This window comes from Homo sapiens, chromosome 8, assembly GCF_000001405.40.
Source record: "Homo sapiens chromosome 8, GRCh38.p14 Primary Assembly".
Lineage (NCBI taxonomy): Eukaryota > Metazoa > Chordata > Mammalia > Primates > Hominidae > Homo > Homo sapiens.
Window position 1 is genome coordinate 124,190,746 of NC_000008.11, and position 26,351 is coordinate 124,217,096.

The following is a 26,351-nucleotide window of genomic DNA, read 5'->3' on the forward strand; positions in this document are numbered from 1 at the left end:
CCAGTATGAGAATTCCATCCAGAAGTAACCTATGCAGGGACACAGGCTGGACAGGGGGCATCCATTTTGCTGGTACAGGGGACGGCAAAAGCTGTGTGGTTTCTCATCTCAGGGACAACTGCATCGACGTGAATGGGACAAATCTACATGTGGACCTGGGAGCTTAGTCTAGAGCTCAGATGTCTACCCTTCGAATAATTCTGTGAGTGAGAAGAAAAGAGAGAGAAGAAGAAAAAAGAAGGAAAAATCTTTCTTTCAGAAATGGAAATGGACTCTGTTGTCTGCAACTACAAACTGTGACTAGCAAAGAAGTAAAAGGAAGCAACAAAGATATGTGGCTTGGGCTACAGAGGAAAGGTGGGGCCACTAGACATAGAGTCAATACCTACCATGATTGTGGTAGGCACTGCCGAGAGGAAGTGTGGTCTGAAGAAGCAGCTATTATATGTTCACTTACACTGTAATGATTATAGAAACGAGACATAGATGCATGAAAGCTTATGTGTGATCACAGGAGCATTTAAATCCAGGTGAAGACAGAAATACTGGGTAGGGCTTGAACCAAATAAAGATGACACTAGAGTGAGGTTAGGGCTAGTGAAGGAAGGCATCTGCAGAAGGGTTCCATGTTTTTCTGTGTGTGATTGTTGTATTTGGGAGGGCATTGCTTGGCTCTGATTACCTACAGCTGTCTAAACTAATGGTCATGCTGAGAGCAACATCTACGGTCCTGATTTCAGTGGTGGCAGGAACTAGGAATTAGGAGCAAGGAAACCCAAATCTTTAGAAAATCACATTTGTTCTCTGAGCTAGTTTTCTCATCTGAAAAATGACCATATTGTGATTATAATCACTGCCATTGTGTGCTGAGCACTAGACTCATATCAAAATATCTTCCCCAATCCTCATCCACAGCCCTGGATGTCAGCACTACTGTTACTCCATCTACCAGTGAAAATTGTGGGGCCCAGAGAGGTTAAAAAACCAGCTCCAGGTCACAGGGCTGGTAAGTGACAGAACCAATACATATCCATGTCTGGTTCTTGCTGAAAAGCCTAGCTCATGAGCACTGCCCCCAGTGCCTACCTGCCTAAGAGGGTGGTTAGGTGACAAATAAAGCCACATGTGAGAGCAGGTGTTCTGTCATTTGTTAAAGCTGAGATGTGCAGCCTAAAAACCTGGCTTCAAGTCCTGGCTCTGCCATTTGTTTATTATATGAATTTAAATAGGTTACTTAATTCCTCTCCCATTTTTTATTATCCATAAAACGACTATAATATTGACTATGGCCTTGTCTGCCTACCAGGGTGAGGATACAAATAATAATAATTATAAAACAAGAATGACCACAAAACCAACATTTATATGATGCTTAAGTTGCCTCAGGTGCTGTCCTAAGTGCTTTTTCAGAAATGTGAGCTGATGCACGTGAATATAATTTTAAAACCAGAAAAGAGTTTTATTATTAACCTGTAGTTTTTATAGCCAAACTGAAATGTCACAGGCCTGCTGGCTGCTCTGTTTTCTAGGGGCTGGATTCATAAGGGACGAATCTTCAAGTGAAAACTCAGGTTCTGCCCAGTAATGGCCTCTCTCAACTCCCACCTCTCCAAACAGCAGTGATGGCTCCAGAGAATGTGATGGACGCTTTACTCACAAACTTAGGATGTTTATTCCTTTGCTCAAGAGGAATCACAGAGGTCCACTCCCTCCTCAGCAATGGGCCTTATAGGTGTGAAATTTTGCCCATAATGACCTCAAGGCAAAACACAGCAGAATCCACCAGCAATTCTTTCTCTCCTTTCCCCAGAAGAGATATGAGGACTCAGGCTTTGAGATGCACTGGGTGAGTGTCCTGAATTTGGGAAGCACTGCAGATAATTCTCCTCCTCCTCTGTCAGCCACTTCAGCTCCCCAGACCTGACTTTTCTTTTTCTTTTTTTTTGGTTTTGTTGTTGTTGTTGTTTCGTTTGTGTGTGTGTGTGTGTGTGTGTGTGTGTGTGTGTGTGTGTGATGAAGTCTTGCTTTGTTGCCCAGGCTGGAATGCGGTGATGCAATCTCGGCTCACTGCAACCTCCTCCTCCTGGGTTCAAGCGATTCTCCTGCCTCAGCCTCCTGAGTAGCTGGGATTACAGGCATGCGCCACTATGCCCAGCTAATATTGTATTTTTAGTAGAGATGGGGTTTCACCATGTTGTTCAGGCTGGTCTCGAACTCCTGACCTCAAGTGATCCACTCACCTCAGTCTCCCAAAGTTCTGGGATTACAGGAATGAGCCACTGTGCCCGGACCCTTCGTCCTCTTACATTCAGTCTTCTGGGAGATTCCCGATGTTTTTCTGATTGCTTCTGTAAAAGGACCCAAGGGCTCTCCTTTCTGGAAGATGCTTGCTCTCTAGATGAGGCATGGCCCACTCTGGTCTGGGCCCCTGGACACACTCTCTTACCACCCTTCAGCACACTTCTCCTCTCCACTGAGTAGTAAGACACCAAGTGCTCAGCTGTGGCTATGACCTATGGAAAGGTCCATGGCATCTACCCAGCCTTCCGTCACCAGGGTCCACCATCTGAGACTCATGGGGCCTGGACAGAAGGCAGTGCTGATGTGCCCAGGCCAGGGCACTGGGGCACCATGGGACTCAGGCAAAGTCTCAGTGTAATGAAGACCTGCGCTGCCTGGCCTTGTCCTCTGTGCATCCATTTTCTTGTGGCAGCACGGCTCAGGATTTCCAGATCATGCTCTTTCAAATACCATCATCACATCTGGGAAGTGCTGACACATGTAGAGGGAAAAAAATGTCTGGAAGGAAATACACAAAATGTTATCACTGTGGATTTCTATAGGGTAGTGGGTAACTTTAGTTTTTACATTTGAAATGAAGCATTTTATAAATATTTGTTTTCCCTAAGTGGTTTTAAATTTTCTTTTCACTGATCTGCATTTTCCAATTTCACTATAATCAATTTACAGTCTTTTGTAGTTGAAAAAGTTATATATATATATATACATATATATATAGCTACTCCAGTCATAAAATGACATGCAGCCTTCCAGCTAGAGCAGGACCAGTTTAAAAAAGAAAAATTCCTGGTCAAAAATGTCAAACTCTGCAATTTTAATTCCACATTAAGTGTTTTCTATCACTTATCCATATCTTATAGTTTCTGTAGATCTGTATCTTACAGTTTCTTTACAAAAAGGCCACACTATATTAACTTATTTTAATCCAGTGCTTTTTGACCTTGGAACCTGTTTTATCAAATAACACCTAAAAATAGCCTATAGAATTGATCGTTCTAGCAAACATGCTTTTGGAAACATTGATCTGGTCCAATTTTGCTTCCCCATTTTCAGCCAATAGAACTAAGGTCCAGAGAGATGAAGGGACTCATTCAGAGAGTCACACAACCATGAAGAAACCAAGTTTGAAGTTGAGCTAAGGTCCTCTCATGCAAGACCACTGTCAAATCCTGCTGGTCAAGCACACGCCACTCCCAGGACACAAACACATTGTTGTGTCTGTGAACAGTGTCCCCCAGTGTTGTGAAGGACACACCAGTGTGGCTGTACCACACTCAATTCACACCATTACCAAGGTTGAACAGTTGAATAAAGTATTTTCTGTTATTACTTGAAGAAGTAAAACAATGTCAAAGCTAATTGCTGCAATTATCAAAGTAGCTTTTAAGAAGGTCCTTGGCCAAGCTTGGTGGCTCACGCCTGTAATCTTAATACTTTAAGAGGTCAAGGCGGGCAGGGGGCGGTCACTTGAGCCTAGGAGTTCAAGGCCAGCCTGGACAACATAATAAGACCCTTTCTCTATAAAAAATATTTTAAAATTAGCGAGGCTTGATGGCATGCGCCTATAGTCCTAGATACTCAGGAGGCTGAGGCAGGAGGATCACATGAGCCCAGGAGGTTGAGGCTGCAGTGAGCTATGCTAGCACCACTACACTTTAGCCTTGGCAGTAGACCCTGTCTCCAAAAGAGGAAGAAGGTCCTGAGAAGGCAGATATAGTGGCTTTGCTCTGCTACAAACTTGGGTTCTCAGTGTAGGATCCTGGCTGGCTGACTGAAGTATAGTTTTGAGAATTAGAATACAGTATTTGTCTCTCTTTTTCTGCTTTTCTTCCTTCCTCCTTAAAAATTAAAAGACACTGAGTGCCTCAGAAGTGTGCAAAGCATTGTGCTCTAAGACAGGCCTCATGGGAGCTATTGTCAAAGCCATTGCTATTAGCACAGGGTTCTCTAACCTGCTGAGGAATTCCATTTTCAGGACAAATTTCACTGCATTTAATTTTGGCTTTCTTACCCACTGCACCAAGTGAGCCGAACCCCCAATGGTAATTAAAATGACAAGTACATTTCTTTCTCTTCTTCCGTCTCACCGTTCCGCATCCCAAACAGACTCAGTACCCCTGGAAAGCGTCCACTTTTTTGTCCCACTCTGTCAGCCCAGACATGGAAATCTTTCTTTACTTCTCTGAACCAGGAAGCCAGCCTTGCTTCCTTTTCTGTACCATGTCCAAGCTGTGACTGAGTCCTGCCAAGTCCCCCCGCCACTTCCCTCAAATCCCTCCATTGCTCCTGACATCCGTGTCCTCTACTTCAGTGCCGTCATTGCATCACTGCAACAGCCTCCCCCGACTGTGTCCCCGCTCCCTGCCAAAAATGCCTTGGCCTCTCCTGCCTCCCAGCCTCTGTTCTGTCCACTGGCTATCCACGCCCCTCCTCCCTCCTGCCCACAGCTCCTTCCCATCCTTTAGTCTTCGGTTTAAGTCGGGATTTTCCTCTACCTCCTTCCTCTTTATTTTCAAAACTGATTGCCAGAGTTTAGGCTGGTGCAAAAGTCATTGTGGTTTTTGCCATTAAAAGTGGTTGTGAGGCCGGGTGCGGTGGCTCATGCCTGTAATCCCAGCACTTTGGGAGGCCAAGGCGGGCAGATCACCTGAGGTTAGGAATTTGAGACCAGCCTGACTAACATGGTGAAACCCCATCTCTACTAAAAATACAAAAAAATTAGCCAGGAATGGTGGCGGGTGCCTGTAATCCCAGCTACTTGGGAGGCTGAGGCAGGAGAATTGCTTGAACCCAGAAGGTGGAGGCTGCAATGAGCTGAGACCATGCCAGCCTGGTCAACAATAATGAAACTGCAGCTCCAAAAAAAAAAAAAAAAAAAGTGGTTGCAAAAGCCGCAGTTACTTCTGCACCAACCTAATACATTTTTCTTTGTGACTATGTGCTTAATCCTGTGAACTACCTGAAGGCCTAGACAGCATCTCTCGATTGACCTCTATAACCCCAGGGCATGATACCACTTCCTGCTTCTGCTTCACTCCTACTGCTGTGCTTTGAGCAAGCTGTTTAACTTCTCTTACTGTTTGAAATATCAAAAGGGGCTGCTGAGCCCTACCTCACTTGTTGTTTAGAGAATTAAGTCAGGCAGTTTGCAAAGTGCCTAAAAAATGCTTGGTCCTTAGTAGGTAGGAATGCCAGTTCCCTTCCCTCTCTTCTTGGTAGGGGCTATATTGTTATTAGATGGGACGCTTAATGGTAAGCAACAGACACTGAATTTGAGCAAAAACACAAAAAGGGAAGTGAGTAGCTGGTGTTTGTAAACTGCAGAAGTACGGCAGAGAGTAAGACCAGGGACTCAAAGGCCCTCAACTATCTGCTTTTCTCTCCCTCTCATTTTCTCCCTCTTGCATTGTGTGTGTGTGTGTGTGTATGAGTGTGTGTATGTGTGAGTGTTTGTGTGTGCATGTGTGTGAGTGTGTGTATGTGTGTGAGTGTGTGTATGTGCGTGTGTGCATATGCATGTATGTGTGTGAGAGTGTGTGTATGTTGTGTGAGTGTGTGTATGTGTGTGAGTGTGTGTATGTGTGTGAGTGTGTGTGTATGTGTGTGTGAGTGTGTGTGTGTGTGTGTCTTATCTCTGCTTCTCTGGCTATCCCTTTTATTTTCTTAACTGTCCACTTTTTTTTTTTTTAAAGACAGAGTCTCTGTCACCCAGGCTGGAGTGCAGTGGCACAGTCTTGGCTCACTGCAAATTCTGCCTCCCAGGTTCAAGCAATTCTCCTGCCTCAGCCTCCGGAGTAGCTGGGATTGCAGGTGTGCACCACCATGCCTGGCTAATTTTTGTATTTTTAGTAGAGACGGGGTTTCACCATCTTGAGCAGGCTGGCCTTGAACTCCTGACCTCAGGTGACTCACCCGCCTTGGCCTCCCAAAGTGTTAGGATTACAGGCATGAGCCACCGCACCCAGCCTCAACTGCTGATCTTTCTGAGGCAGGAGACTGGTCTCTACAGCACTTGGCCTTCCCTTATAGCTTCACTTTCCAAGAAAAACAGAAAAAAATAAAAGCTCTTCTTTCCCAAGGTCCATTTACAGGAATCCCAGGAAAGAACTCTGATTGCCCTGACTGTGGTCATTAGCCATTCTCCTAACTATCACTAGGGTCAGAGGAGTGCAGACAGACAGCGCTTACTCAGAGGGGGACGGGATGAGGAACAATACTCCTAAAAGAAGGTGGCTGCATTTCCACCGAGAAGCGGACAAGTTCCAGGCAGACACCACAATGAACATCCACCAAGAGAAACCCGATTTAACACAACAGTGGATGCCATGGCACTGTGATAATTACAGTTGCTTCTGCAAGCTATTTATATGCCTTCCTCCCTGGTTACATTTCTGGAATCTTGGAAACAGAGACAATGCCTTTGTTATGGTCCTTTCTCCTATGCTAGCAGAGTCTGGGGCACACGAGGCTGTGAATAGTGCCTGAATAAATGAATGAACAAAGGTAAGCACCAAAGCTTCCGATGCTTCTCTTTCCAGCTACAAATTGCTCCTATGATCTGGGTTCGGGAAAACAGTTACATAATGGCCCTCAAAGACTCTCCTTAGCTGTTTATGTCTTAAATGGTCTCACTGAGACTTGCCCACTCTCCTTTACCTTGCTTGGCTTCTTCCGTGAGTTTCCATGTTCCTATTTATAAATGTCACTTGGGCCCAGCTCTTTGGGCCTGATTCTCTCCTCACTGCCTCCCTTTCTTCCTCGTAGGGGCAGAATGCTTTGGTTCACCTGAAATGGCTTTTCAGAGGAGGTACAGCTGTTCGATGTGTTACGGCCCCATCCAGTCCCCTGTGAAAGAGGCTGCAGCATTTCCTCACTGCCTATTTAGCCACACCCCGCCAGGACAGAGCGTAACCTAGCAGCTTCCGGATTTAATGCATGGAATGATCAACAGGCTGCAAGAGGAAGTGACTGGGCCAGGGGCCCAGAGTCACAAGCTCATTCAGTCCTAGGCCTTGTAAATTCCAAGTCCCTGGCCATGGATGAGCCTTGGACTGCTTTTCTCAAGCCCTAGAGGTGAAGTCAGCCACCTTCCATATCCTAGGCTCATGCAGGGTGCTGGGACATTGATAACTCAGACCACTTCCTGCCCTTGAAAGGCTGAGAAGAAAATTCGTTTTACCGCAATGCAGAGGTCTCAGACCATCAGTTGCACAGCATAGAAGAGATTAGAATCCTGAATATGCCCTTTGCACCTGGAAAGACCCTTGTTTGACTCCAGAAAACCCTCCAGGGCTCCTTTACCAAGTACCAGCTCATAGAAACAGCTAAAGAAAAATCTATTAAAGTCATTTATTTACAATCATAGAAATTTTAGAGCTAGAGGAAAATTCAAGGTAATCTGGTCCCAAACTGTTAGTTCACAGGAGAGGAAGCTAGATCTACAATTACACAATTATACCATCACTGTGGTGTGCAAACTGTCCCCAAGACTGTCATCTTAATAATGCATGTCATTTGCTGTTGGAAAAAAAAAATACATTGAATATTTAGGTGAGGCCCCAAGCTACACATACCATGATCACATTCGATCCTCCCAATAGTAAAATGGGTGTGTTTATTCCATCTAATAAATGAGGAAACAGAAGCACAGAGACATTAAGTGACATGCTCAAGGTCACACAGCTGGTAAATGATGGATTAAGGATTTGAACTCAGACTCAATTGTTTTCAAAGCATCTATTCCAATGAGAATGAAAATGTTGGCCAGGCACAGTGTCTCACGCTTGTAATCCTAGCACTTTGGGAGGCCGAGGCGGGTAGATCACCTGAGGTCAGGAGTTCTATACCAGCATGGACAACATGGCGAAATCCCGTCTCTACTAAAAATATAAAAATTAGCCAGGCATGGTAGCGCATGCCTGTAATCCCACCTACTCGGGAAGCTGAGAATCGTTTGAACCCGGGAGGTGGAGGTTGCAGTGAGCTGAGATTGCACCACCACACTCCAGCCTGTGCAACGGGAGTGAGACTCCATCTCAAGAAAAAAAAAAAAGAAAGAAAGAAAGAAAGAAAATGTATTGAATTAATGTTACTGAAATAAGGCCAGAAAACCTAGATTCTATTTCTAAATTTACCACTAACAAGTTGTAGGAACTGGGAAAGACCTTTCATTCACTGGGACCTAGCTTCCTGTTCCATAAATGGAGAGAACAGAGCTGGGTCAGTGATGGCAATATGTGACCACTTTCTCATCCTATGCCCAAGACAGATGTGACTGTAAGACCAGGGTACCATTTCTGCCTGAGCTCAAAGTAGGCTTCTAATGTAGAGCTTTATCCAGCCCCTCCCAAACAATTGCTATTGGCACAAATAAAATGCATTTGCCACCCCTTGGCCCAACGAGCTCTCAGATCCATTCCAACTCTATTTAATTCATGAAAATTCTGGCCCTGGATTTTGTCATTTCTCTGCAGTGTTGGAAGAAAAATAGGAACCGCTTATCTGTGATTCCACAGAGCAGAATCCTGCCAGAAGCAGATCCCTGCTGTTCTCCTGACAGATCATGGGCTGTGCTCAGAACTTCAGGGGCAGGGGTGTAGGGGCCTGCCACAAATGACAGGAGGCCACGATTCCATTTCGTCTTCTTCCTTAACTCTGATCCACATGAATGGAAAGCTTTCCTTGCTCTGACATTACTGGAACATCACATAGTTCTCTTATGAAATGAATCTCTATTGCTGAAGTGGCTTGATATCAACAATAAGGCAGCCAAAGAGGTACATGGAAAAACCCCACTGTCTTCCCATGCTGATTGGCTTACAGGATGAGGGGGTGATGGAGGGCCAGTGAGTCAGAGCTATTTCTACAGAAGACATCCAGAAACACCAAGTTAAGTCAAGTTGCTGAGTCTGTGGTGAGCCCAAGACAGGAGGTAACAGAAGAATGGAAAATCAGGACAGCATTGAAATCTGATGCTGAGTTGACAAGTTGCTGTCAAATGCCAAGCACAGAGGACAGCAGGAAGTGAGCCAACTGCAGAGAGCTGAGCACCTGGCCAGATCATCAGGCTACCTCTGTCCAGACCTCAGCAGTGCCCAGGCCTTCACGTAGCAGTCACAGGTCACTGCATCCTGCCAAAAAAAGGCAGTCCATTCTTCAAGGTGTCTGTTTGAGTCTAGTGTCAAATTACCCCAGATTGTCAGCAAGTGCCTGTGGCCCTGGCTTGCCCTGGTAGATGAGTCAGCCCAGCTGTGAAGAAAGCCCTGCCGGGCCCTGGGAGGCCAACGCATGCCAGCTGAGGCAAGAAGACAGCATCAGCCCTGAAGCCTGTGTGGACAAGGAGCCCACTCCCTAACTGAGGCCTGGGACCCCTAACCCCACCCCGACTTCAGATGGGGCTGTGTTTCCAGGACTGCCTCATACCCCATTTCAAATCAGGCTACTCAACAGTGACATTTAGTAACAGAAATCATGAAGATTCATTAGATGACTCAGAGAAAAAACAAACAAACACTCTCTCCAAGAAAGAGAAATTCACAGGAAGGGGCCACATCCATCCAGTTCTGCCCTTCCCGTTTCTCTAGCTCAGTGGTTCTCAAAGTGTGGTCCCTGGACCAGCAGGAGTGACAGATTTTTGCCACGACACCACTTCAGTAATGTTAATTAAATATATTTCCATTCTTTTAAGAGTCAACATAGCTTAGTGAGAAGAGCAGAAGCTCTGGAGCTTGTTAGAAATGCCCCACCCCAGACCTCTTGAATCAGAAATACTGGGGTGGGGCCCAGCCATCGGTGGCCTAACCAGCCTTCCAGGCGATTCTGAAGCCTGCTGAAGTTTGAGAACAAGGACGTCTCCAGCTGAACCAGCCACCCCTCAGGAGTAGAGGGAATTCCTGCTCCCCGGCCCAACTTTGTTATGGAAACCTCCCAGGACAATCTGCATCAGCGAGCTGATCCTAGTCCCCAGCAGCAGGTGACAAAAGGATCTGGCCTCAGGACTGTGTCATCCCTAGGACGTGATAACAGGCCATTGTGGCTGGGGCATATTAGTGGGTGCAAAAGGAGATATAAATCTCGTATTTGGGAAAGGAATGGGAGGGACTGAAGAGCAAGGAAAACTAAGCCCCTTCTTATCTCCTCAATGCTCAGCCACTAGAAACTCGTAATTAGAGCTATTAATAGCCACCATTTATGTAGAAGCTGCCATGAGCCAGGCACAGTGGGACATACTTTACCTGTTTCATCTCTCAGCAAATTTTGAGGGACGTAGCTTTATCCACCCCATTTGATAGAAGAAGAAACTGAGGCTCAGTGAAGCTAGACGTCTTGTTGGAGTGTGTTCTTTGCACGCATGAGTTGGGACCCGACCTCACGTCTAAGTGGGCCATCTTGACCACAGCACTGCCTTAATCCAACAACCATCGTCCCTCCCCACCCCCTCCACTCTTCAAAGGGCCTCATCGTGGGTGATGTGGGGCCAGACTAAGACCAGGAATGTGGACTTTCTCACACATAGTAGGTGCTTAACAGATGGTAGTGCTCTCTCCTTGCCTCTTTGGACACCCACAATGGAGTGATTCAGAGCCCAAGTTTTGGGCAGATTGTACATGCATGGGCTAAATGGGCTCTGAGAGTCAGCATCCAGCTTCACAAAACAGGAATAATGATAGCTGCCTCCCGGGGATGTTATGGAGATGCAATCTGCTATGTCTATAGCTATGTCTATAAAGCTATGTCTATAAAGCACACAGCGTTCCACACGTAATAAGCAGTGACTAAGTGGTCATTACTACTTTACCATAGTCAAGCTTAATACAAGTGTGTGAAGAGACAGGTAAGGGATTTTCATCCCTACTTTGTGGTTACAGACATAAGCTTCAGAGAGGCTGAGGGGCAGACCTAGAATGACACGGCTGGGAGGGTGATGGCAAGAGGAGAAGCTCAGCCACCCACCCGGCATCAGCTTCCATTCCTCCATGCTATGCTGCCTGGCCTAGCAAGGGCACCCCTGTGTCATGTTGATTCTCTTTTTATTGCAGAAACTCGCTCCCGCTTGTGCACAGTCCAGGAGCTTTGCCCCAACTAGTGCTGTCACAAGTCATGTGACAACAACCAGGGGAATGTTCCCATTAACAGAGACGGTGGGACGCCAAGGCATGCTCCCACCTCCAGCCTCCCATCATTGTTGTAACATCTTTGGACACCTCCCTCCTTCTCCCAAGGAAAGCCACAGCCCTGTGAGTGACCAGAGGCAACAGAACAAAGACCGGATTCTCAGTTTCCTGATTCCCTCGCACAGCACGGTCTCTCTGCAGGGAGTCTGGGAATCCTGACACTGCCTGGATGGAGTGTCCACACCAGTGGCTAAAGGTCAGAACTGTCTCTTCGCCAACCAAGGGTGGCTGCTCCTATGTGTCTGTGGCTCTGGCTATAACCCTCAGAGGTGTGTGTTGAGCAAACAGAGCCAGCTTCTGCCATCCATTAGTAAGAGCTAACATTTACTGCGTGCCCACGACCTGCCACGTGTTGTTCTAGCTGCTTGCTAATGAACAGCAGCGAATGGTTGTAATGGTTATAATGGCCGGGCACACTGAATCTAGAGCCAGACAGCTTTGGATCAAATTACACTCTTCCTCTTACTAGCGTTGTATCTTTGGCCAAGTTACTTAACCTCTTTGTGCCTCAGTTTTCTGACCTGTAAGATAAATGGGGGTAATACCTTCATGAGGCTCTTATGAGCATCATGTATTCTACTTGACTCTTTACATGTTTGTTCTCGTTTGATCTTCCGAAAACATTTTGAAGTAGGTATTATTATCCCCCATTTACATGTGAGGAAACTGAGGCATAGAGCCAAGAAGTACACTGCCCTAGGTCCCACAGATGGTAGTGATTGTAAAAAAATAATATCTAACATTTATTAGACTCTTACCATGTGCGAGGCACAACAAAACAGAGTGGTTGCTACAATTGCCCCTACTTTACAAATAGTGAAAACTGCGGCACAGAGAGACTAAATACTCTGCCCAAGATCAACTAGTAAATGGCAGAGCCACAATATCAACCCAGGTTGTATGGCTTTGGAGTCTGTGCTGTTCTGTGTTTTGCCACGGAACCCCCAGCCCTGGCTCTGTCTGTAAACACCCTGAGACTCACCAATAAGCTGTGGAATCGGCCATTTCATGGGGAGGGTGGGTGGCAGAAAGCTCCTTTTTACCTTGAGTGGCTTTTTTTACCCAAGGAAGAGTTACAAGATAAGCCACAATGATCATCCAATAGAGGTCGTTCTAATTTTGCAAGGGCTGATTCTCCAATCACAACAGTGTTTCTCAGTGGAGGTGCTATTGACATTTGGATGAGATGTTCTCACGGCTATGCAGTGTGTAAACTGTCCTGCACGTGTCAGGATGGTTACCCCCCAACACACACACACACCCACGGAATGTTAATGGCTCCCCTAGCCACTGTACTATACCAAAATGCCCCATGCAACTTTCAAATGTTTTCTCAGTGGAGGGGAAGATTCTGCCCCTGGTGAGGACCATGGAAATAGAGCATCAGCCACTTCTCTCCTCTTTTTACAAATTCAACTCAAACCATGAATCGGGAGAAATCGGAGTCAAACACGGGACAGCCAACAGTGTGAGGCTGAGTGTGATTAAGTACCAAGTCAGTGGTAGTGACAGGCGTAGGACCCTGGCAAAGGAGGAACAGCCCTGCCCACATGCACAGCCAGGAGCTGCCCTGTGGCAAGGCTCCTCACTGGATGTGGGAGCAGAGGAGGAGGCAAACCAGAGAAGGTAAGATGAAACCCAAATGAGGCCATTTCATTCCCTTTCACCATTCTGTTGGCTGAGAAGGCTAAGGCAAGGGCCTGGAGTAGTGCAGAACCCCAGGTGTGGAAGTTGGAATACCAGGACTGATAATAAGCTGTGTCATCATGGCCAAGCAATTCACTCTGCCTGCCTTAATTTCCCCAGTGGCCTGGTGGTGATGCCTTCCCAACCCACTTCCCAAAGTTGTAAGCCTCAAGTGACATCAGAAATAGGGGGGTGTCCGGAACAGTAAATATCACTACTGTTTTTGTTTGTATCCAAAGCCAGTCTCTGGGCATTGAGTGCTGTTCCCTTTTGGGTATCTGTCACCATTCATAGAAGAATGAACCACTTGCCAAGGCCACACTCAGTGATTCATTTGTCCCCCTGGAAATACCAGGAGAGCACTTCCTTCTCAGGACAATCACTGCCAAGTGCCAAAAACCTCAAGAGTGATGAGCATGGGTTGTCCCAGAGTACAGAAAGGACCCACATCACCCAGTGACAGAGCAGGCAGTGGGCGTGGCTCTGAGCCTTTACTGTCTCCTCCCTCTGCGAGGAATGCCAGGGGGAGCTGTAAGCATCATTTAAGGGCACTGTGGTCCAGGACACAGGCTTGGGAGTTCTACATTGTGTATTTGTTTATTTTTGAGAAAGGAAAGAGAATACTACAAAGACTGAGCATTTATCATGTGCTAGGTGCTGTGCTATGTGCTTGACATACATGCATTTATCTCATTTAATAGCATCTCAGTGACCTGGCTATTATTATTCCTACTTTACAAAGAGGAAGCTCAGGATTAAAGATTTAAGTAATTTGCCTAAGGTAATTCACCTAATAGGTGGGCATGGTAAATGAAACAATGCCGCTTCTCAAATGCTCATGTCTTTTTTTTTTTTTTTTTTTTTGAGACAGTCTCTCTGTCACCCAGGCTGGAGTACAGTGATGCAATCTCAGCTCACTGCAACCTCCGCCTCCAGGGTTCAAGTGATTCTCATCCCTCAGCCTCCCAAGTAGCTGGGATTACAGATGTGCACCACCACGCCTGGCTAATTTTTGTATTTTTTGTAGAGATGGGGTCTCACCATGTTTGCCAGGCTGGTCTCGAACTCCTGACCTCAGGTGATCCACCCACCTCGGCCTCCCAAAGTGCTGGGATTACAGACTGAGCCCACTGTGCCTGCCTTCAAATGTCCATGTCCTAATCCCCAGAAGCTGTGACTATCTTAGATTCCATGGCTAAAGAGAATTAAAATTGCCGACGGAATTAAGGTTGCTAATCAGCTGACCTTAAAATTGGGAGATCCCCTGGTTGATCTTTATAGGCCCAGTGTAAGCAGGAGGGTCCTTAAAAGTGGAAGAGGGAGGCAGGAGAGGAGAGGCAGAGGGAGATGTAGAAGATATAGAAGAATGGTCAGAGAGAGGTAACATTGCTGGCTTTAAAGATGAGGAAGGAGCCATGAGCCAGGGAATACAGGCAGCCTCTGGAACCTGGACAGAAGGAAACAGATTCTTCTCTAGCTTCTCCAGAAGGAGCAGAGCCCTGCTGACACCATGATTTTAGCCCAGTGAGATCTGCACCAGACTTTTAACCTATATAACTACAAGAATATTAATTCGTATTGTTTTAAGCCACTAAGTTTGTGATAATTTTTTATGATGTCAATAGGAAACTGATACTGTGGGATACCTTGAATTTGACCTTGGGCCTGCCTTACTGAAAATTTGTGCTCCTATTATACCAAATTGACCTGGCTTTGAAACCTGGTTCCATTTGTTAGATATGTGATTTGGGGCACATTAACAGTGACAGAAAAATAGGCTTTACAAGCTTCTTTGGATTTGAGAAGTACCATATTTGATTGTGCGCCCCAAATTTATTTATCTGGTGACCTAAAAGGCTGATATTACCCTGATATTTAAAGCAAGAAATATTCTCCTAGATGGCACCATTCAAGCAGCTCAGACTTTCAGCTCTTATAATCTTTGATGGTTAACACTGAGTCTCAACTTGATGGGATTGAAGGATGCAAAGTATTGTCCCTGGGTGTTTCTGTGAGGGAGTTGCTAAAGGAGATTAACATTTGAGTCAGTGGACTGGAAGAGGCAGACCCCCGCTTCAAGCTGGGTGGGCACCATCTAATCAGCTGCCAGCACGGCTAGGATAAAAGCAGACAAAGAACGTGGAAGGACTAGACTGGCCTGAGTCTTCTGGCCTCCATCTTTTTCCTGTGCTGGAGGCTTCCTGCCCTCAAGCACTGGACTCCAAATTTTTCAGCTTTTGGACTCTTGGACCTACACTACTGGTTTGCCAGGGGCTCTTGGGCCTTTGGCCACAAGCTAAAGGCTGTACTGTCAGCATTCCTACTTTTGAGGTTTTTGGGACGGCTTCCTTGCTCCTCAGTTTGCAGACAACCTATTGTGAAACTTTACCTTGTGATCATGTGAGTCAATACTCCTTAATAAACTCCCTTTTTCTTTTTTTCTTTTTTCAGACGGAATCTCGCTCTGTCACCCAGGCTGGAGTGCAGTGGCACAATCCTGGCTCACTGCAACCTCTGCCTCCTGGGTTCAAGCGATTTTCCTGTCTCAGCCTCCCGAGTAGCTGGGATTACAAGCATGCGCCACCACGCCCAGCTAATTTTTGTATTTTTAGTAGAGATGAGGTTTCACCATGTTGGTCAGGCTGGCCCTTTCATATATACATCTGTGCTATTAGTCCTGTCCCTCTAGAGAACCCTAATACATAACCCAATTGATGAAGTAGGTTGGAAGTACCAGTGTTATTAGAATTAATATCGTAAGGCTCTTTGGGAACTGCAGTAAGCCCTCATAGGAGAATCATAGCAGAGGCCCCTGGTTTTAGAATAAAACCATGTTTCTTAGGCAAATAACAGCTCTCAGCTTGTTTCTGGGCCATGGGAGAAACTTAACAGAGTAGTCCCCCTGCCTTATCAGTAAGGGATACATTCCAAGACCCCCAGTGGATGTCTGAAACTGTAGATAGTACCAAACCCTATGTATTTTGTTTGTTTGATCTAATAACCAAGATGGCTGCTAAGTGACTAACAAACAGTAGCATACACAGCGTTAATATGCTTGACAAATGGAAGATTTGTGTCCCGGGCAGGATGGAATAGGACAGAGCAAGATTTTGTAGAGTACTCAGAATGGAGTGCAACTTAAAACAAATGAGTTATTTATTTCTGGAGGTTTCCATTTAATATTTTCAGATTGCAGTTGTCCATAGGCAACTGAAACTTCACAAAGTAAAACCATGAGTAAGAGGGGACGATGTACCTGGCCATGCAGCACCTTGCTACTTAAGCAGCTTATTATGAACTAAGATATTGTTTCAGAAAGAGTATTCCACTAACACCCAGAAACTTCCCTGAGGTATCAGCACCTTCTGGCACACATGTCTTGGCAAGATACAAGTGAACCTGCTCCTTCTGCTCTCCAGACTATCCACAATATGTCATCAATATAACAGACTCACAGGATACCCTGCAAAATGATAAGATGAGAAAGTCTCCTATGTACTAAGTTATGGCAGAGCCAGAGTTGACATAACTTTGAAGCAAAATGGTGAAGATGTACTGTTGCCTCCTCTAGGTAAAAGCAAACTGCTTCTTGTTTTTGTCTTCTCATTGGGATAGCTGAAAAAGCATTTTGCAAATTAATAGTTGTATATTAGGGACCACGGGCTTTTGAGGTTTTGGGACTTTGTCAATTTGCTTCAATAAGGAAATCACAACTTGGATCAGTGACTGCAATAGAAGTCTCTTCCTGATTAAGCTTTTGATAGTCCACTGCTATTTTTTAACCTCCAAGTATCTTTCTGTACCAACTAAATATAGTGATATACAGAAATAACCACTCATATATATTTCAAGTCTTTGGTGATGCCACACATTTCTGCAGTTCCCTCAGGAAAGGGTGGCTGCTCTTGATTTACTTTTCTGGCAGGGAGGGGGAGCTTTCATTTTCTCTCTTCTGCAATAGTAGCCTTTATTTATGGGTCCCAGGGGCAATATGGAATTCTACTATGGAATTCTACCAAGCTGAGCCTCTATGATTCCATCAGACACTACAGGACTAGAGAAATAACCACAGGGTGAGCTGAAGGCTCTAGTGAGTCTGTTGCAAAGCAGCCTACAATAAAAATAGAGTGGATCACCCGACACTGGGTATTAGTTATCTATAGCTACGTCTCAAGTTACCCAAAACTTAATAGCTGAGAACAGCACTTACCATCTCACAGCATCTGTGGTTCAGGAATGCCGGAGCAGCATGGCTGCATGGTCCTGGCTGAGCATCCCTCCCAGCCTGCTGTCATCTCAAGGCTTCCCTGAGGGATGATCCACCTCCAAGCTCAGTCACGTGGTCGCTGGCAGGCTGTAGTTCTTTGACATGTGGGCCTTTTTATGCCTCACAACATGGGAGCTTTCTTCCCCCAGCTGAGCAATTCAAGAGAGTGTGAAAGAGAACCCAAGGTCCAAAAAAAAGAAAAAAATCTTTTTATAACCCAATCTTGGAAGTGACATTCCCTAAGTTCTGCCATATTTCATTTACTAGACCAAATAAACCCAGCCCACATTCAAGCAGAAGGGATTCCACAAGGGTATGGATACAGCAGGCAAGGAATGCTGCACTTCATTTTAGAGGCTGGCATTACTCTGATTATTGGCCCACAGTAGTGTGCTAAGTCCCCATGAATTAAGGATAGCTCAAAGTCGGCATCATGAACCCTAAAAATCTGTGTAACTTCTTTCCTCAGAATAAAATTACCCTGGTAAATGACTGCAGGACCCTTTCAGAAGGCTGGAGGGAAGATGTGCTTACATACTTGAGATGATTTTGGAGGGTCTTCCTCAGGGTACTCAATCTTCCACTCATTCTAAGTGTTCTCAGTTCTCTAGCTTTGTGAACTGACTCTATTCTCTTTTGATGACTTGATGGCTCAAGTATGAGCTCTAGTTCCCAGAAAAGGAGAGGTGTTTTTGTTGTTGTTGTAGTTTGTTTCTGATGGGGGTCTCACTCTGTCACCCAGGCTGGAGTGTAGTGGCGCAATCTTGGCTCACTGCAAACTGCGCCTCCCATGCCTCGGCCACCCGAGTAGCTGGGATTACAGTGCCTGCCACCATGTCCGTCTAATTTTTGTATTTTTAATAGAGATGGGGTTTCATCACGTTGGCCAGGATGGTCTCAAACCCCTGACCTGAAGTGATCTGCCATCCTCAGCCTCCCAAAGTGCTGGGATTACAGGCAGAAAAAGAGAGTTTTAAAATTTGTTTGGGTTTTTTTGTTTTGTTTTGTTTTGTGTTCAATTTTAAGGTTTCAAGTAGAACCTTCATGATTTGCCTATCTATTTTCACCCTTGGGACTCCATGATAAATTCACCACCACCAAAGCCCAGAGCACTGGGATTGCCACCCCTGCATGTCTGCTTACTCTGGTCGCCACACCTATTGCCTCCAGTGGTTGAGTGAAGCTATGTGACCAATGCCATCCAGATCCTTGATGACATCAGGAAGGCCATTCAACTTCAGTATCTTCTATCATTATCCCTGGTTTTCACAAATAGCCCCTCCAGCATTTTTCAATGATGCTGGTTCTTTCTTTGCCAATGTATTACCCAAGGCTTGGAGAAAGGAGTTTCTTTTTTTAGTTCTCTCAGAAAATATGTTTAGGGAGTAGTTAGGTAGCTTTTATGTAATACTCCATTTTTCTGTCTACAATTTTAATTTCTCCTTTATTTCTCTAAATTATCCTGAGAGATTTTCAGTATCTAAACTTCATTTTCCAGGGGCCACCTTTGGGACAGGTTTAAGTCAACCAACTAACCAATTATCTAGAATCAGCTAAAGATGCTCAAGCGAGCACATTGACCCAAGCATTGTTGACCTGACTTCTCTCTTTCTGCCTTGGTTCCTAACCAGTGGGTTCTGACTGCTACAGCATGTTTCTCTAACGGAATGTTAAGTGGTGGTTTCCCATATTGAAGCAGAGGAGTTGAGCTCAGAAATTAGATTCTTCTCTGACTTTCCAAGCTCAGTATTTCTGACTCGTGCACTGCCATCTGCTTTCAGATCTCCAGGAAACAAGGAACAGGAAATGGAAGAACACAGAGTTCACAGGCTCACACTGCAGCCTTGGCTCTTCCTCAGAGGGTCTTGGAATAGTGACTCAACCTCTTTAGGTTTCAGTATCTTTAACTGTACTAAGAAGAGATTGAATTAGAGGGTCTCTACTATCCCTTTGCCCCTTACAATATGGGCCTCTAGCCTAATTCTCCTGGATATCAAGCCCTAAAACCTACACCTGCTTTCCTTCTAGCCACTATTTATTCTGAAGCTAGTGATTCTTTCCCAGGCCCAGTATCTTATCTAATTAGCCATTTACCCATCACATTGCATCAGTTTATCTGGTATATTTAAGCACAGATAATATTAGAACCTCCTCTTCCCTAGGGAGTCTAAGATACCCCAGAATATGGTAACTTTTCATCAGAAAGGGAAAAGAAATTATAATAGAGCAATCCACACACTAAGAATCTATTTCAACATTTTCTACCTACCATCTATGTTACCATTTTCAACATTCATTGAACACCAACTATGTATTAGGTCTTTGGACACTTCATATACTTCATATCACTTATTTTCACTACATAACTCTGGAGATAAGCATCCTTCTCTATTTCGTGGATGAGAACACTGAGGCTCAGAGAAGTTAGTCCGGCTTGCCCAAGATAAAAACGCTGGTGGGTGGTATAATTCTAACCCAATCTACTTGGCCCCAAAGCTAATGCTCATTACACTGCCTCCATATCATACAAGCAGTTGGGTTCTTTCTCTGTTTCTAGGGCCTTTTGTTTACAACAATTATTCAAGGTTTGACCACACTTACCCCTGTTTTACAACCATTTTCTTCAGATCTGCCTCAACCAAGGATCTATCAGTTGAATAACTGACCTTTGCCAGGGAACTTTTTACATCTTATTCATCTCTCTATTCCTTCCCCACCCCCAGACCTAGCTTCCAGCAGGTGTAAAATATATGCTTGCTAATTAACATACATCAGTATTCCAAAAATGTCCTCTGCAATGAATACGATGCTGATGACTTTTGTTGAAAGAAGGCTTTTTAAAACATCATTTAAGAAAGAAAATTGGCACTTGTCATACTGCCCATTATGACCGTCATCAGCTAAGCTTCTTTTTTTTTTCCTGCCCCAATTTAAAAAGTAAAGTCTGATTTATTAGAATGGCTCACATTTCTGAAGCTATTACTATTGCTATTGCTAGAGCTGTGGCCAGCTCCTCCCTGGACAAAGGAAGGTGAAGTGTGATTGACACCAGATTCACCTGCCATTTATGCACACCAGATTCACCTGCCATTTATGCTAATGAGTACAGTCACAATTAATGTCCCTGAGGTTCTCATATGGACTGTGGAGTCATGCTGATTCAAATCCTGATTCACTCAGATTTCTAAGGAGTTCTGAAATGCTGGGAAAAAAACAGAGGACCAAGCAACAAAGTGAACCCTTGGCTGTTGTGCCCTTTCTTTGTCCAGAGACCTGCCATTTTGTCTTCTGGATACCTTTGTTTGGCCGATATTGGGATAGACCTATGACGTTCAAATGGGGCTGCTCATTGGTTCGCTGCCAGGCAAGAGAGTGGTCTCTGGGGTGAGGTGCAGGGCTTTATCTTAGACTTAGAATTTGGACACTTTTCCACCAACAAGCCAATATTTGCTTTCTCTAACATAAGGGCAGTGTTGGATCAGAAAATGTCTGCAGATTCAGATGCTAATGCCTACACTTCTGCTAGCACACAATCAAATTCACATTGCTTCCCTAGCGGAAATTTTTATCAGAGATATTTTGTCTGGACCATTCACTAAATCCCAGATTCAGGGCCAATAAAAACTCTACCATTCCTACACTTACATGCTGTAGTATTATGGTGCACCTTCCAAGCCATCACCTATTCTGTCTGTCCAACTTTCAAAACGTGACCTGAACCTTTCCTTCTCCCCATGTCCAGCACTACTATCCTGTTCAGGCCACCATCGCTTCTCAACTGAACCACTGAGAAGTGGTTTTTCACCTCTCAAGTGGTGTTTCAGGATTGATCCCTGACATATCAATCCTTCCTTCCTTCTCCCCATGTCCAGCACTACTATCCTGTCCAGGCCACCATCGCTTCTCAACTGAACCACTGAGAGGTGGTTTTTCACCTCTCAAGTGGTGTTTCAGGATTGATCCCTGACATATCAATCAGAATGGTCTTTGAAAGGTAAAAACCAGATTGTATCGTTCCTTTGCTTAAATCTTCAAGCGGATTCCACTGCATTTAAAATAAAATGTAATCTTGCCATGGCCTGAAAAGTCCTAGACTTATGGCCTGTGCCTCCCAATCTGATCTCATCTCATCTCCTATCATTCCCCTCCTTGCTCACCCTGCCCCAGACCCACTGGCTTTCCTGTATCCCTGGAATATGGCAAATGTGTTCCCACCCACGGGCCTTTGCACTTGCTCTTCCTTCTGCCTAGAGCACACTTGTACCTGTTCTTACAATGCTTGGCTCCTTACCCTTCAGGCTCACATGTCATTCTCTCTGTTGCTTCCCTGACCCCTTCATTTGAGCAGTCCTCTCTGTCCCCATCATACTTCGTCATATCACCCTGATGTATTTCCTTCACAGTACTTATAACCACCTGAAATGATTGTGTTTACTGTTTATTTGCTTAAAAAAAAAAACCTCTAAAATGTGAGCTTTCTGTCCTTTTGGGATCTTGCACATAGTAGGTGCTCAATAAAACATAAATTTGTGTTGAATAAATGAGTGAACCATACATGTTCAATGTATAATAGCAATACCAAGGAGAAAGCTGTTAAAACTGTATGTGGTATGGAAAGACTTCAGGGAAGAGGTAATCTTTGTTCTGAGTCTCAAAGCATGAGAGGTTTCCCATCAGGTGCACAGGACGGGAAAGGATGTGCGATGGGGAACAGACAGATAACTACAATACTGCTGAGTCTTATGGCCCAGGTCTACAATGTCCTATGAGAGCACAGAATAAGGAGTGACTAAAGCTGAGTAGGAGGTCAGGGTTTAAAGAAGGAAATAACGCTTGAGCCGGGTTAAAAAGACTTTACCAGGCTAAGATAGGGAAGAGGCTTTTCAGCAGAGTAAACATTCTAGACAAGGCACAGAGTCATGAAAGAGAATGGTGAGAAGGAGGCTCGAGGGAAGGGGGGTGTTGGGATTAGATCATCAAGGGCCTGGCTTGCCTGCTAAGGATTTTGGATATTTTTTCTCATTAAAAAATATAGAAAATAGAAGTATTTAACATTCTGTGGAAAATAAACATATTAACACTATGACTAACCAACAATGTGACCTTCACATATATAATAAACATGAGTCAGGGAGACTTAAAAATATCTAAATGGAACACATATATTTATATAATTATAGATGTACATCCAAACATTGTTATTTTTGGTAGATCAAAAGGCTTTATGCATGACCAGATTTGCATGCTAGAAAGTTCATTCTAATGATACCAGATGGACTTCTCCAACTATCTGTGGTGAAAGACCAAATATTATAATTTCTAATCTGTTGTGATTAATATTTTGTAAAACACAACAAAAAATGTCGTGGTAATGTTAAATTGCTCTAAATGTCCCTAAGCACTTACTCTTGGACTCTGTACCTCCTCCCAATTGGGTAAGAAATATTTGGTGGACTGGCCCTGATCCGTGGACCCCACTTTGAAGCACATTGCACTAGAGTGTGAAGGGTCAGTGAGCTCATGGAGACTGTCTAGAAGGGTCCAGGCAGAAGGTGGTCACGGCACCCATTATCCTCTATTAACACTTTTGTGTCCCCTATGGGCCACTACCTCTCCATGACCCTTCTGCCACTGAGAGTGTGAGGTTATCAACAAACTCACTAAATACTTGTTCAATTGAAGAATGGCCCACTCCCCGAGGAAATGGTGTAATCCTGCAAAAATGCCTGTTATTTTTCAATAGCCACTGCCAGTTAATCCATCATTCAGTTGAGAGGGGTTACTCTGGAGACATTTTGGCTCAGAAATCAGTGTGCACCCTTAGATCTAACAAAAATAGCAAAGAAAAATATGTTTTTGAATTTACATATGTAATTGTATGCAATGTGTTTCATTCAGATATTTGCAAGACATCCCTTTGGTACATGTGAGGGTCACACATATCAGCCTCTCTGTTGCTGCTCTGACCCCTTTACCTGAGCATTCCTCCCTCTCCCCATCATGCTTCATCATATCTCCCTGGTGTATTTCCTTCATGGTACTTACCAGTTCCATCATAGTGTTCATTTATTTTGCCTGGTGTGGTGAAAATAGTATGGATTGTGGAATTCTAGTTTTGCCATTTTACTAACCCTACGTGGCAAGTAAGGTGACCTAACTTCAATGAGCTTTAGCTTTTTTTATTTGAAAAGATGTGAGAAGGCCAGGCATGGTGGCTCACGCCTGTAATCCCAATACTTTGGGAAGCCAAGGCAGGTGGATCATTTGAGGTTAGGAGTTCAAGACCAGCCTGGCCAACATGGCAAAACCCCATCTCTACTAAAACTTCAAAAATTAGCCAGGTGTGGTGGCGGGCACCTGTAGTGCCAGCTACTCGGGAGGCTGAGGCACAAGAATCGCTTGAACCCGAGAGGCAGAGGTTGCAGTGAGCTGAGATCGTGCCATTGCACTCTAGCCTGAGCAACAGAGCGGGATTGCTTCTCAAAAAAAAAAAAAAAAAGAAAAAAAAAAAAAGGAAAGAAAAGAAAAGAAAAGATGTGAGAAATAATATTTTTATTCCAGGATTGTTTTGAAAATTAAGTTAAATACCACATGCAAAACACCTGGCATACAGAAGGTGCTGAATAAATGTTGTCCTTTCACCTTATTAATTTTGTTCCTTGTAAATACCCTTAGCCATGGGCTACAGAAAAAGATTAGGGTCTTTGAATAGCTTTTTAACAGCCCAGAATAATGAATAAAGAATTGCTGGTGGAGTCTGTTTGTCCTCCCTCTGTTTCTGCTACACCAAATGCAACAAGTTTCTTATCCCAAATAATTACTTGCACATGCCTGATCTCCAGTGGAGCCCATCCCTATTTGCTCCTAAAACAATTGTATAATAATACCAAAGATCTGAAATCTCATGAAGCTCAGCCTACCCAGGCTGTCCCCAACTATGTTAAATTGAGCTTGGTGTAGGAGAGGTATCTGCTTGGCTTTTTCCCTTCCTTTGAGCTTGCACTGGCTTCAAGAGCTGAGTTCATAGACCTTAGCAGACGTGTAAGATCAAAAAGAAACTGGTCCCTGGGGAGAAAATAAAAATTCCCTCCAAGTGCATAAGGTAATGTAATAGCGATGACTTGACAAGCAAGGCCTTCCTTCCCAGGGATCTGGACAGACTCTCCTTAGACTGTCTTAGAGGACCCACCAGACCAACACCAGCCTCTGATGTCCACACTGCATGAAACACTGCTTCCTGGCTGCCTTGCCAGTCTAGGCGGAAGGTGCAGGTAGTGAGAACCACCATGAAATGGTCTTTGGCTCTGAATAGTGACCAAGAGCATTTCTGAGCCCCAACACCCCTTTGTCCCCTCCACACACATCTGCCAAGCTCCACCCTTCCCCTGGCAGGGTTTGAGGGTAGCTCACACATTCTCTGAGCAGCTGCCAAAGTGCTCCCAGGAAGGCTGGACCTCTCTCTGCCAGCAGCTGGTGCCCTCTGCTCTGCTCTGCTCTTTTTCCCTTACTCCTGTTCTCAATGAAATGGGCTGTACTTGGAGTAATTCTGAAGGTTACTGATGATACCCAACAGAATCAGACAGACCCTGGGTCTCATCCCAGCTCCTTCCCTTGCTAGCTGTGTAGCCCAGTTTCCTAAGTTGCAGCTTCCTTGCCTACAAATGGTGCATGACAATGATGCTTGTCTGATGAAGTGATTGTGTAACTGATTGAAATGATGCACTAGGTGCTTAGTGCAGTGCTTGCTGGAGAATGGATGTTCAACAAAATACTAGTTGTTATTACTGTTGTTGTCATATAATCTGCTAGTGTGCCTGTCACGGCCCATCAAAGATGTATTTGTTTCCTAGAGGCTGCTGTAACAATTTATCCCAAACTGGATGGCTTAATACTACAGAAATTTGTTTCTCTCACAGTTCTAGAGGACAGAAGTCTGAAATCAAGGTGTCAGCAGGGCCTCACTCCCTTAGAAGGGTTCATGGAAAAATATTTTCCCCTCCTCTTCCAGCTCCTGTAGGCATTCTTTGGTGTTCCTTGGTTTTTAGTCACTTCACTCCAATCTCTGCCTGTGACTTCACATGGCCTTCTCTTCTGGGTGTCCCTGTCCCCTCCTCTTCCTTTGCCTCTTTATTTTTTTTCTTTTTTTTGAGACGGAGTCTTGCTCTTTCACCCAGGCTGGAGTGCCATGACACAATCTCGGCTCACTGCAATCTCTGCCTCCCGAGTTCAAATGATTCTCCTGCCTCAGCCTCCCAAGTAGCTGAGATTACAGGCACCCGCCACCACGCCCACCTAATTTTTGTATTTTTAGTAGTGACAGGGTTTCACCATGTTGGCCAGGCTGGTCTCAGACTCTTGACCTCAAGTGATCCGCCCACCTCAGCCTCCCAAAGTGCTGGGATTACAGGCGTGAGCCACCGCACCCGGCCCCTTTGCATCGTTCTTATAAAATCACTTGTAAAGGCATTTAGGACCCACCTAGATAATCCTGGATAATCTCCCCCAACTCAAGATCCTTAATCACATCTGCTACTATTAAGGTAATAGTCGCTCCTGTGTCATATATAGTAATATTCTCAGGTTCCAGGGATAAGGACAAGGCTGGATCTTGCTGCAGAGTACCATTAAACCCACTATAAAAGATCTTCCTTAGGAAAATGGGCTTGGGAAAGAGGGCTTTTGCTTGCTTCTTATTCAAGAGTCTCAAATCTTGACAGCATTTCATTGTCAGCTGCAAAACTCTCTTTGCTGTCTCTCCCAGGAACCCATTCATGGTCCACCCTGCCACACCCTGATAGGCAGAGGCCCCATGGTCAATGGATCCCTGGAACCATGGAACATAAACAGCCTGGGGGTGAGCCTGTTGGGTGGTGGGATGAGATGGAATGAGCTATAATGGCTAGAAATATGTAGCTGGAACAAAG

The 26,351-nt window shown here is 44.8% G+C and overlaps 2 long non-coding RNA genes across 2 annotated transcripts in view, besides 4 other annotated features; one reads left to right on the forward strand and one right to left on the reverse strand.

Annotated features, from left to right (window-relative positions):
• Window positions 1–1,725: 1,725 nt before the first annotated feature.
• LOC124902015 (uncharacterized) lies at window positions 1,726–3,645 on the forward strand. The gene is made up of 2 exons (XR_007061086.1): window positions 1,726–1,846; window positions 3,355–3,645. It is a non-coding gene; the product is annotated as an uncharacterized LOC124902015 (long non-coding RNA).
• LOC101927588 (uncharacterized) overlaps window positions 1,946–26,351 on the reverse strand; it is a 54,708-nt gene continuing 30,302 nt past the window's right edge. Inside the window, exons 2-3 of the long non-coding RNA NR_125420.1 lie at window positions 17,371–17,576; window positions 1,946–2,799 (exon numbers count right to left, since the gene is read on the reverse strand). This is a non-coding gene — a long non-coding RNA (uncharacterized LOC101927588). The remainder of the gene's footprint in view (window positions 2,800–17,370; window positions 17,577–26,351) is intronic.
• Window positions 5,063–5,122: an enhancer, noted in NCBI's record as "active region_27876". NCBI's record gives its function as "activates an Ori minimal core promoter by ATAC-STARR-seq in GM12878 lymphoblastoid cells {active_cell/tissue: GM12878}" and the evidence as "EXISTENCE:reporter gene assay evidence [ECO:0000049][PMID:35858748]".
• Window positions 5,153–5,392: an enhancer, noted in NCBI's record as "active region_27877". NCBI's record gives its function as "activates an Ori minimal core promoter by ATAC-STARR-seq in GM12878 lymphoblastoid cells {active_cell/tissue: GM12878}" and the evidence as "EXISTENCE:reporter gene assay evidence [ECO:0000049][PMID:35858748]".
• Window positions 5,433–5,482: an enhancer, noted in NCBI's record as "active region_27878". NCBI's record gives its function as "activates an Ori minimal core promoter by ATAC-STARR-seq in GM12878 lymphoblastoid cells {active_cell/tissue: GM12878}" and the evidence as "EXISTENCE:reporter gene assay evidence [ECO:0000049][PMID:35858748]".
• Window positions 5,673–5,722: a silencer, noted in NCBI's record as "silent region_19507". NCBI's record gives its function as "represses an Ori minimal core promoter by ATAC-STARR-seq in GM12878 lymphoblastoid cells {active_cell/tissue: GM12878}" and the evidence as "EXISTENCE:reporter gene assay evidence [ECO:0000049][PMID:35858748]".